General features: G+C 45.7%; 3 annotated features.

The window, feature by feature from the left end:
* Positions 4,111–5,083: an enhancer, noted in NCBI's record as "H3K4me1 hESC enhancer chr6:150274681-150275653 (GRCh37/hg19 assembly coordinates)". NCBI's record gives its function as "activates a minimal SCP1, AML or CMV promoter by ChIP-STARR-seq in naive H9 embryonic stem cells {active_cell/tissue: H9 hESC(naive)}" and the evidence as "EXISTENCE:reporter gene assay evidence [ECO:0000049][PMID:30033119]".
* Positions 5,084–6,055: an enhancer, noted in NCBI's record as "H3K4me1 hESC enhancer chr6:150275654-150276625 (GRCh37/hg19 assembly coordinates)". NCBI's record gives its function as "activates a minimal SCP1, AML or CMV promoter by ChIP-STARR-seq in naive H9 embryonic stem cells {active_cell/tissue: H9 hESC(naive)}" and the evidence as "EXISTENCE:reporter gene assay evidence [ECO:0000049][PMID:30033119]".
* Positions 8,699–8,993: a silencer, noted in NCBI's record as "tiled region #14768; K562 Repressive non-DNase unmatched - State 22:ReprW". NCBI's record gives its function as "represses a minimal TATA promoter and a strong SV40 promoter by Sharpr-MPRA in K562 cells {active_cell/tissue: K562}" and the evidence as "EXISTENCE:reporter gene assay evidence [ECO:0000049][PMID:27701403]".

Consider the following 12,179-nt stretch of genomic DNA (forward strand, 5'->3'; position numbering starts at 1 on the left):
AATATAGCTAAAATGGTCATACTTCCAAAAGCGATTTATAGATGCAACACTTTCTCTATCAACACCAATGTCATTTTTCACAAAATTAGAAAAATCTAATCTAAAAGGTATTTGGAATTAAAAAAGAGCCCAAATAGCCAAAACAATCATAAGCAAAAAGAACAACGCCAGAGGCATCACATTGCCTGACTTCAAACTATAATATAAGGCTACGGTGATCGAAACAGAATGGTACTGGTACCAAAATAGACACTTAGATCAGTGGAACAGAATAGAGAGCTCAGAAAGAAACCTTCACACCTTCTAACCTTCAACAAAATCAACAAAAATAAGCAATGGGAAAGAGTCCCAATTCAACAAATGGTGCTGGGATAACTGGCTAGCCATGTGCAGAAGAATGAAACTGAACCTCTACATTTCACCATATATGTAAAATAACTCGACATGAATTAAAGATTTAAATGTAAGTCCTAAAACTATAAAAATCCTGGAAGATAACCTAGGAAATGCCACTTTGGACATAGGGCCTGGCAAAGATATCATAATGAAGACACCAAAAGTATTTGCAACCAAAAACAAAAACTGACAAATGTGATCTCATTAAACTAAAGAGATTCTCCACAGTAAAAGAAATTAGCAACACAGTTAACAGCCTATAGAATGGGAGCAATATCTGCAATCTATGCATCTGGCAAAGCTCTAATATCCAGAATCTACATGGAACTTAACAAGCAAGAACAAAATTGCAATTAAAAAATAAGCAAAGAATGTGAACAGACGCTTTTCAAAAGAAGACATGCAAGTGGCCAACAAACATGAAAAAATGCTCTTTGGGAAGCCGCAGTGGGCAGGTCACAAGGTCAGGAGTTTGAGACCAGCCTGACCAACATAGTGAAACTCCGTCTCTACTAAAAATACAAAAATTAGCCAGATGTGGTGGTGCATACCTGTAACCTGTAATGGTGCATAGTCTGATGTTGGAACTATGAAGTACCTTGGACTGGTACTTTATAGTGTTTTCCAGCAGACAGCACTGCTTATTTTTCAAATATTTCAATAAGTCGGGAGGGTTTGCTGACAGCGAGTTTGTGCCCTGAGCTCTTTGGCACTGAGGGCAAAGAGCAGAGGGGTGTGGTCTGGTGGCCCAGCATTTCTGCCCCGGGGGAGGATTCTCTTCTGCTGCAGTGAAAACCAACAGGACGCTGCTTCATCCCAAGGGGACTAGGAAGATAGGTCAGAGTGAGGAGCTTTCTGAGTGTTTCAGATCACACAGTGACTGCCTGCTTGATGGCTTCAGAACTCCTTCATTAGCTGGGAGACAGCCCCCGAGGTAAAAGGTGCATGGGCACGATGGGCTCGACATGACAGCTTTCGAGATGACAGGCAGTTTCTCCCGTGTGTTTCTATGTGTCTTTGTGTGTGCCCGTGTATGTGCATGGCTGTGTCTGTATTTCTGCATGCATTTATGTATGTGTGTTTGTTTGTGTGTGTGTGTGCCTGTGTGGTGTGAGTGTGTGTGTGTGACTGTGCCTGCATGTCTCTGTGTGTGTGCATGTGTGTCTGTGTGTGTGTGTGATAACATGCATATATGAATGGTGAATTGATTTTCTGCTTGATTTGCTATGGAGGGAGACAGGGACTCCAGGGGGGGTTCCTGCCCACCCCTTGTTCCCTGTCTTCTGACATTCCCTCCTCCCTGTGGAAAGAGTCTACCCCAGTAACTGAGGGTTCGTTAGTGCAGACGTCTCACAGCTCTCCAAAGTTCTGTGATATTTGTATCCCCAGGCCTCCTCCTCATGCTTGTCCATCTGCTGGATGCCCTGTCTTCTCGAGGCCACCTGGCCACGCTGTATTCTTCCTATGCCTACAAGAACAGTCTGAAATGCCATCTCCTGAGAAGCCTCCATGCAACTCTCCAGGCAGAATGAGTTACCCCCTCTTCTGCCCCCCGATAGCCCCAATGGCGGCGAGGACATCACATCAGCAGCAGCAGCCATGTGGGTGTTTGTTTCTGTCCCTCGATTCTAAGTGACTTGAGGACCGGACACATCCATCACCCACATGTAAACCCAGCACCTAGCACAATGGTTGCCATACTATGGGGTTTAAAATGCATGGGAGGAATCCAATCATCGGACTACCCCAGGGCTGCTAGTACTCAGACAGGGATCCACATAATTTAAGGGATTGGACAAAGGTCTTCATTTCTGTTCTTTCCAGCACCAACCTCCATGGCTCCACTCATCCCTACTCCTTCATCCTATTAAGATTGGCTGGTCAGGAGAGGAGTAGGGGCAGAAGCAGCTATACCTGGTCCCCTCCACCTCCCATGGTGGTGGGTGCACCCTTGGTGGGACCAGGTGCGCAAGACAACCCCTGGGCCTAGGGGACCTGCAGCCTCCGCGGCCCCACAGAAAGCAGGAGGAGCTGTTCAGCAACTTGCAGAGACAGCCAGAGAGTGCTTCAAGGACTGCATGGAGCTCTGGAGAAGTGGCAAATTCAGGACCCTCTTTTGTGGGGCATGAGATATATAGGCAGGATCATTTCTACCAAAGAGGCTGTCACTTTGGCTTATCAATACTTTCATCTCCCTACCCCTTCCAGATCACAGTGGGTGCTTTACTTGTTTTTATGGATTATTGTGTCAACCAAGATGAGAGGTCAGAATCACCCTAAAGATTTGAAACTTCTTCAAGATTTGACAAATGCGCATTTTAATGCCCCTCCTATTTTCAGGAAGCTGTGGCTAAAGAAAACATTTTATTATATAGCATTGCCCAAATTACTTATACAGAATTTTAAAAATCTACATAATGTCATACAACCATGTGAAAAGTAAAACTAAAATGCCATAACTTTTTGGGCCAGTAGTGGTGGCTCATGCCTGTGATCTCAGAACCTTGGGAGGCCAATGCTGGAGGATAGCTTGAAGCTAGGAGTTGGAGATCAGCCGTGGCAACATGGTGAGACCCTGTCTCTACAGAAAACTTTAAAAATTAACCAGGTGTAGTAGCATGTGACTGTAGTCCCAGCCCCTCAGGAGGCTAAGGTGGGAGGATGACTTGAGCCTGAGAGTTTGAGGTTGCAGGGAGTTGAGATGGTGCCACGGCACTCCAGACTGGATGGCAGAGTGAGAGCCTGTCTCAAAGAAAACAACAACAAAACAACAACAGAAGAAGAAATAACAAAACAAATTAAACACAAATAAGCTAAGTTGACAGACTTGTGGGACCCAAATGACCATATCATGCAATGTCCTTCTTTTGATGTAGAAAGGGGTATGCTGAGTGCCAGTATTCCCAGAATGTTCCATCTCATGAAATATGATTTCCTCTGGTAAACCCACTCCTTAGTCCAGGTCCTCTGAGAAGTAGATGCCTACATGGGATTCACATGAGGGGATTTCATTGGTGGAAACCCTGGGAGAACCGTTCAGCAGGACGCACTTCTGACCCCAAGTGCAGGAGGAGGGACAGAAGGTTGGGCAGGTGCATCCTACACTACAGTGAATGGTGCTGGGACAACTGGATGCCACATGCAGAAGAATGAGATGGGCCCCTTCCTTACAGCACACACAAAAACTAGCTCTAGATGAATGGCAGATGTCCAGCTAAGACATGAAACTATGATTGTCTCAGAAGAAAATAGAGCAGTAAATTTTTGTGACCCTGGATTTGGCAAATGCTTAACTACTGTAGGCCAGTAGCAAAAATGGCAAAATAAAAGGTAGTTTGATTTCATTTTATGCAAATGTAAAACTTTTGTGCTTCAAAAAGGACTCCATTTAGAAGGTAAAAAGAAAACTTGCAGAATGAGAGAAAATAATTGAAAATCATGTATCTGGTAAGGGACTGTTATTCTGAACATAAAAGAACTCTTGCAACTCAATATTATAAAATGAAGTAACCCAATTTAAATATATGCAAGGAATTTGAATAGACATTTCTCCAAAGTGAGACAGGTATACTACACGGTGGTCTCAAAAGAATAGGAAATTTTAGGCAGCAGTTTCAGGTGACTAGCAAAAGGAATCTGTTGAAATATCTGCAGCAGCTCTGGGCTGGTAAGTTGCTGAGAAACAGCATGTGGACCAAGGTGACTAAGAATGAGTGGATCCAACATGGCCCTGGATTTGACCTAGGTTTCACCTGGGACCTCATTACATGCTGATAAACATAATAAACACATACCAGCCAGCTCCCTAGCAGTTCTGAGAATGCCCATATTTGGTGTAAAAATTCGAGGCACCAGAGTTCTGAGAATCCCTGTCCTTCTTCCAGGAATTTTCATGAATATTCCATCCCTTGGTTGAAGAAACCAGGAAAGGTGGCAGCCCCAAACCCCCTTGCACCTGCCTCTCTCTTGAGTTCCCCTGCATTCCCTTTACACGAGTGTGTACTTTCCCTTTTACAAAAAAATCTCCGTCTTTTCTCTATTTTCCTACTGGTCCTAGAATTCATTTCCCCAGGCGGTGTCAAGAGCCCGACACCGGCTGGGGTCGAGGTCTCATCAGAGTTTGGGGACCACCGGTTGCCCACTGGCATCGGAAGAAGAATGCAAATGGCAGTGAGCCCAGGAAAAGGTGCTCAGTGTCCACAGACCTCAGGGAAATGCCAACAGCACCCACAAGGGGACGCCTCACCCCGCTGGAATGGGTGACCCCAAACACTGTGAGGCTGGAGGGGGTGGGGCCTGCGTTCCTTACAAGGCAGAGAGCAGGAGACTGAGAGTTGGTGGAGTGTAGGGCTGTGCCTGTGTCATCCTCTTCCCATTTTCCTGGCGGAGGTTTCTCTTTGTTCTCTGGCCCTCCCTGCTTCCTTCCTCTCCCTTTCTCTGGTTCTCCCTCCCGTCCTTCATTTCCAACCATCCCAAGGTTTTCTCCGCCCCACGACATGCATGCTCCGGGTCCCCAGCCCAGCGTAGAAACCAGGAGCCCTGGACCGCGAGCGGCGGGATCCAGGAGGCGACAACCTGACGCCCCTGCCGGACCCTGGACACTCAGGACCTAGTGCGTCCCGGCGCCCTCCTGTAGCGGCCCCAGGGCAAGGAGGATGGGGGTCCTCGCGGGGCCCACACTGTCGGAGCCCCACAGATTCGAGTGGGACGGTGAGGTCTACACACTGAGCCGGTGACAAAGTCCCCGCGAGGATGGAGGAGGGACCTCGTGCTCCTCACCCCAACAGGCCCCGCATTTCCTTGATCCTTCTGACACGGGAACCAAGGGTCCCTTGCCGCGACCAGCGAGTCATCCCAGGTCTTCGAAAGGCCGTTTTTTCCCGGACGCTGTGGACCCGGAGGCCCGGGGGTATCGGCCGGCAGCGGCGCACCCACTCCGGGGTCTCCACAGGGCAGGACCTGGGTCCGGAGCTCGGGCGAAGCGGACGCCCTGGCGGAGCCCGCAGAAGCCAGAATGGACGCGGAGGGGTCGAAACTGAAACCCCCAGGAGCGAACTTTCCCCCAAAGTCATCTGTGGTTGAAATCAGCAATCGCCTATAACATCCCCGGTGTGTCAACACCGTTTGGTAAATATCTAGAACCAGTGCCTCGTCACTGAGGCAGCCCCGCGCGCCCCTGCTTGGGTTCCGCGTCCCAGGACCCTCGGGGCCCACAACAGATCAGGCGAGCCCATCCGGTGACCCTCCCTGGGGCTCCGGCCCCACTCTTTCTTACTTCTTCACCTACATATTTTCACGTGTTTCAGGATCGAAACCATGAAAAGTCATGTGCGAAAGGCTCCCCCGCCCCTGCCTTCGTCCACTCTCATTGGCCACAGCCCGGAATGAGACATGATTGGATTCTTTGAATCTTTCCAGGGAGTCTTTATGCCATTTCAAACGCATATGTATAGATATTCTTCATTCAGACTTGGATATTTTTTGCTCTTGATGAAACCTGTCTCCCTGTCCTTCAGTTTCCCCTCCCGCTATAGTGGATGTTTCACCATCCTCTGCCCAAGCTGGGTCATCACAATCACAGACAAGAGTGTCGCCAGCATTGCCATCCGTGACATGAGACGCTTTAAAGGTGCATTAATTTGCACAACAATTCTGTGTCTGGAAATCTATTCTACACAATTAAGTTGAGATTCATGCAAGCACAGTTTCTGCAGCATTTAGTTTTTCTAAAAGTAACTGACTGGAGACCGTCTGGATCTTCAGACACAGACACTGGTAACATTTGTTGTGATGCAGTCATTCTATGTAATGTGCAGAGATAAAAAGGAAAAGAATCTGTATGTGCAGGTATTGGAAGATCTTGAAAGTGTGTTATTTTGAGATAGGATCTGCGTTCAGCAGAGTGCCTATGGGCTTATATTTGTTTTAAAGACCAGCACTGATACATGTACACATCTCTACTGTTAGTAAGGAAAACAGTATTTCCATAACTTATTGCCAGTCTGTTTGTCCGTTTTAGGAAAAATCAATATAGCTGAAAAGCCATGGTGGCAGATATTGGTCATCACCCGCCAAGATTCTACACTGCCTTACACATGGTCCCAGCTGAGGTTGCCAGAGGAACAGGATGTGGAATGCAGTCACGTTTCAGTGAAGAACCTGAAGTCAAACTGGACCAGGTGTCTTGTCTTGATTTCTGCCTCTTCACCCAACCCCCACCTGGTCAGGCAGTGACCCTGGAGGAGCAGGGACGATGCTTGGTGGGCAGTGAAGATGGGGAGCCAATTTTGGGAGCATGGTGAACATGGAGAGTCGGGACCCCACAGCAACTGGGGAGGAGCTGGTGTGATGCTGGGAGCACTGGGAAGACAGGGAGCCTAGGCACAGCACTCACTGCTCCTCCCATCTGGGACAGGATTGGGGTGGTGATGAGAAAAGTTTCCTGAGTAGCACAATTCCCAAGCATGGCAGAATGGCTCGCCCTGGTTGCCACTATGCCCAGCCCATCCTACACTTTATATTCTGTCAAGAGCAATTTTTAAAACACTGTATTCAGAACATAGACAAAGATAACCAACCACATGGGGAGATAAGGTAGCAATAACAGGAACCAGCTGAAATGTGCAACAGAGACAGAAAATACATGGAACCTCTAGATCAGTCCTCTGATAGAAATATAATGCAAGCCACAAGTGTGAGCCACACAGGGAATTTTAAATATTCTAGTGAACACATTGAAAAAATAAAAAGAAACAGGTGAAATATATTTTTACAACATTTTTAACTCAATATGTTTTAACTAAATTTTTTTTAACCAAAATTATTATTTCAACGTGTCATCAATGGAAAAATGAATAATGAGACATTTGACATTTTCATACTAAACCTTTGGAATTTGGTGTGCACCATATACTGACAGTACTTCTCAATTTAAACTAGTTGTATTGCAAGCTCTTAATAGCCTCATGTAGCTAGTAACTGCTGGGTTAGACTTTGCAGCTTTAGATTTTAGAATGATCTTGCCGGGCGCGGCAGCTCACCCCTGTAATCCCAGCACTTTGGGAGGCCAAGGTGGGTGGATCACCTGAGGTCGGGAGGTCGAGACCATCCTGACCAACCTGGTGAATCCCCTTCTCTACTAAAAATACGAAAATTAGCTCAGTATGGTAGTGCATGCCTATAGTCCCAGCTACTCAGGAGGCTGAGGCACAAGAATCAATTGAACCCAGGAAGTGGAGGTTGCAGTGAGCCGAGATCATGCCACTACACTTCAGCCCTGGCCAGCGAGTGAGACTCTGTCTCAAAAAATAAAATAAAATAAAATAAAAAATATCAGAGTTATCAGGCAGGGATTTACAAATAACTATGCTTACTATGTTTCAATAGCTTTAAAATAATGAAAAAAATCATTGAGCAAAAAATTTTCCTGGTTTTCTTGCTCTGTTGTTGCTATGTCACATGGGACCTGCCCGTTAGAGCTAAACAGTCAGTTTTGCTGTTTCTAGGCAGGAAAACGCTCACATCACAAGTAAATGTCGAGGCATCCCAGGAGGTTTCCCTGGTAATGTATATTTTCATTAGTCAATTCCAGTCTTAAAGGTACTATTCTCCTGACTTTTTAACGTTTTCCTAGGGTGCCATCCTGTATGTGAAATCCAAAATTGATGATTTCTTCTCAAAGGCAGTGTTACCATAATTCACACCATTTAGATATATTATAAAAAAGTGTTTAAATCTATTCAACATTGTTCATTAAGCTTCTGTCAGAATCATAAAAATATCTTGTCATGCCTGATTAATTCAACTGAGTTCAGTTTTGAAACAGCACTGCTGTTCTACAATGTGCTATTTATTGTTTAAGCCTAGAATTCATTAATGTTTCCAATAACTGAAAGGGATGGAGTATTTTACTAAGATATCTATCAAAATTATAATAAATTTAAGACTGTGGGCTGATTTTATGAAACCTATAAAATATAGAAAGAATAGGAAGTAAAAATGAATTTAATATAGTCCTAGAATTCATTTTGTCTAAAAGCCAATGTTCAGTGAAAACATTGTTGTTTTTCTCTTCTGCAAACCTGAAGCAAGTAATGCTAGAAATGTGATTTTCTACAGAACTGACAGGTTGGTAAGATGATACATGACTGGAGTAATATCATTCATCTGTTTAACATTTATAGCCTGGGAACATGCCTTATAATACGGCCAAATGCCTACAAGTTTCAATATACTCCTAAAGATAAGAGACTTTAAGCTCCTATGTTCACAAAGGAGTATTGTCTGTAAATTATATCTCAGTAAGTTTAATATTTATGAAAGGCGATAGGAGAGAAGACTAACAGTAGCTGAATAAGAGAAAAACAATAAGCTTGTCCGATCTACAAGTGCATCTATGAAAGGTAGGTTAAACTAGAAACCATTCTCCACCTCCTTGAGACTGTGACTAACAGCCTAGAACAGTACAAATCCACTGGATGAAGACAGGAAATAAGGTCAGGCTTCTGGCTCCCTCACCCAAATTACCCCAGAGAAACAATGGAAGGAAGAAGGAAACACTTGGCCAACAGACTACACAACAGCAACCCTGGTTGCAAGATAACAACGGAGTATTCTTTCTAAAATATAAAGGAAAAGAACTTGAGCCTAGAATTTTTTATCCAGTCAAATTCTCATTTAAATAGGAAGGTATCTTTTCTGTTGCAGCCATAACAAATTGCCACATACTTACCTGCTTAAATCAGTACATCTTTATTATTTCACAGAGTCCTCTAGGTTGCAAGTCTGAGATGGCTTGATTGGTTTCTCTGCTCCCAGTTCCTCAAGGTCAAGGTCAAGGTGTCCACCTGCTGGGCTCTGGTTGGGAGGTTCTGGGAAGCATCTGCTTCCAAGTGCACTCAGGTTGATGGCAGAATCCAGTCCTTGGACCTGTGGGACTAAGGTCCCAGCTTCCCTGCTGGCTGTCAGCTGCAGCCCTTCCCTAACTCCCAGAGGCCCCTCTCCAGTCTTGCTCATGGCCCCCACATCTCAGAGCCAGCAACAGTGCATGGAATCCTTCTCATGCTTAGAATCTCTCTGACATTGGACGCATATTTCTTGGCTCCAGCCTGAGAAAATTCTCTGCTTTTTAGAGCTCATGTGATGGCACTGGGCCCACTCAGAGAATCCAGGAAAATCTCTCTATTTTAAGGTCAACTGATTAGTAACTTTAATGATGACTGTACAGAGCCTAGACTAGCAGTACCTATACTCACAGTACCTAGACTAGCGGTGCCTAGACTAGGAGCAGCTGGTTTCTCTAGGCCCCTCACCCCTCACTCTCTCCATCCCCTTCTTCCTGGCCCCCCTTCCTTTCCCATTTCCATTCCCATTTTCATAATCATGTTTTCTTTGCTTAAAATACTGGATTTTCCTGCCGCTGGTATGCACCAGGCTCAAACAAGCAGGCTAAGACAGCCGTTAGTTGTCCTATCATCAGTCTTTTCTAGAACATATCGTTCTAGAAAAGGTACAGGAAACTTGAGGGGGCAGCTTCCAAATCCTGCCCACCATGGTGTATCAGAAATATTCAAAACAGAAAACTTGAAGGATATTTGCCTCCTAAAGATCCAAGTTGGAAATAGTTTAGAGGAAGGTACCTCAATAGCAAGAGAAACACAGGTGATGCGACAAGAGAACCGAGGAGGACAAGTGACCAAGGAATCTATTCCAGATTACTGTTATCTCACAACAAGGGGAAATGTGAAGTTGGGATCATAGAAACAAAGAAGTATAGCTAAGAATAACCGAGAATTACAGCTAGGAAAGCTATCAGGAAAATGGGGCTGGAGGTGGCACGTGAAAGGGATATGAAAACATGCTGAGACTTCTAAAATTAGGAATAAAACAAAACCAATAATACCAATAAATGTGACACATACTGGTATGAGTCATAGGTTAACGGCGGCCACCCTGAGAAGAAAACTAGAATGTATAACTTTTAAACCAACAGAAAAAAACCCTCAGTATACTAAATGGAACACAGGTATGGAGGGGAAATGCCAGCATTAAAAAACACAATAAATACATGTGGACCAGGCACAGTGGCTCATGCCTGTAATCCCTGCACTTTGGGAGGCTGAGGTGGGAGGATCGCTTGAGCTCAGGAGTTCAAGACCAGCCTGGGCAATATAGGCAGACCCCATCTCTACAGACAAATATAGAAAATTAGCCCAGTGGGTGGCGCATGCTTGTAGTCCTGGCTACTCGGAGGCTGAGGCAGTAAGATGGCCTGAGCCCAGGAGTTAGAGGCTGCAGTGAGCTATGACCACGCCATTGCACTCCAGCCTGGGCAACAGAGGGAGATCCCATATCTTAAAACAAACAAACAAAAAAGATGGCATAGCTAAATCCTAAACAGTAATAATTACAATAAAGCTGAATTGCTAAACTCATCACATAAATCAGTGAAACTCCCAGGTTGGATTTTAAAATATCAAATAATATACACTATTTTCAAAAGGCAATGTTAAATGTAAAGCTTAAAAATGGAAGGTATCTACCAAGAAAGGCTACTTTATTTGTTCGTTCGTTTCTTTTAGCGACTACAATATGCTTTATTGTTCTTGGAAAGGGCTCAGGGTTTGGCTTTAAATCAGGCTGCACGCTTTTCATCAGTCCCACATCTCTCTCCCCATGCCAAGCTGGCTCCAGCTAGCAATGCCACATTAAATTCCAGGGAGACCTTTAGAAACTTCCAGAAGCCTCCCTTCCTCCTGACCCCCCACCCCTGCAGTCCAAGATCTCCCATGTTGGCCCACGACCCCTGCTTAGGGTCCAGCCTGGAACTCACTGATCCGACCCACTCCGGACCAGCCTGGTAGCAGGAGTAGAGGCTGGAGGCAAACACCCAACTCTGCGCCAGCACCTGTGCCACTGGAGACCTGGAGCCCAGGGTGTGATATGCTTGGAGGAAGCAGAGGGTCCCTGTGTGAGTCACCCCGGCCCTCAAGGCTGTCACAGCTCCAGTGGCCCCACCCCGCCCACTTGCAACTCCAGGCCATGGGTCCAGAAATGTCTGGATTCTTGTTCCCTTTCAGACCCCAACCTTTCTCTTCTCCTTCTCTTTCCTCCTGGCCCCCTTATCTTTTCCCATTTCCATTCCCACTTTCAGACTCGTTCCTTATTTGTTTAAAGCACAGATTTTCGGCTGGGTACTGTGGCTCATGCCTGTAATCCCAGCACTTTGGGAGTCTGAGGCGGGCAGATCACGAAGTCAGGAGTTCAAGACCAGCCTGGCCAACATAATGAAACCCCGTCCCTACTAAAAATACAAAAAAATTAGCCGGGTGTGTTGGCTGGCACCTGTAATCCTAGCTACTGGGGAGGCTGAGGCAGGAGGATCTCTTGAACCTGGGAGGCGGAGGTTGCAGCGAGCCGACATTGCACAACTGCACACCAGCCCCTGCGACAGTGAGAGACTCTGTCTAAAAAAAAAAAAAAAAGGCAAGATTCGTTTGGCCCTGGTGCACTCTAGGCTCAGTCAAACCAGCTGAAGTCTATCATTATGCTGTCCATCATTATGCTATGTTTTTCTAGAAGATTCTATCCTGTTGAAGCACCCCCAGACTGGTTGAAAACCAAGTTACTCTTCCTTGGAAAATCTTTGTGGACACCCAGGTGGGCATACAAATTTCCAAGTCTTGGCCAGTTTCAGTGGCTCACACCTGTAATCCCAGCACTATGGGAGGCTGAGGCAGGTGGATCACCTGAGGCCAGGAGTTTATAAGACCAGCCTAGCCAAC

This window comes from Homo sapiens, chromosome 6 (assembly GCF_000001405.40).
Source record: "Homo sapiens chromosome 6, GRCh38.p14 Primary Assembly".
Lineage (NCBI taxonomy): Eukaryota > Metazoa > Chordata > Mammalia > Primates > Hominidae > Homo > Homo sapiens.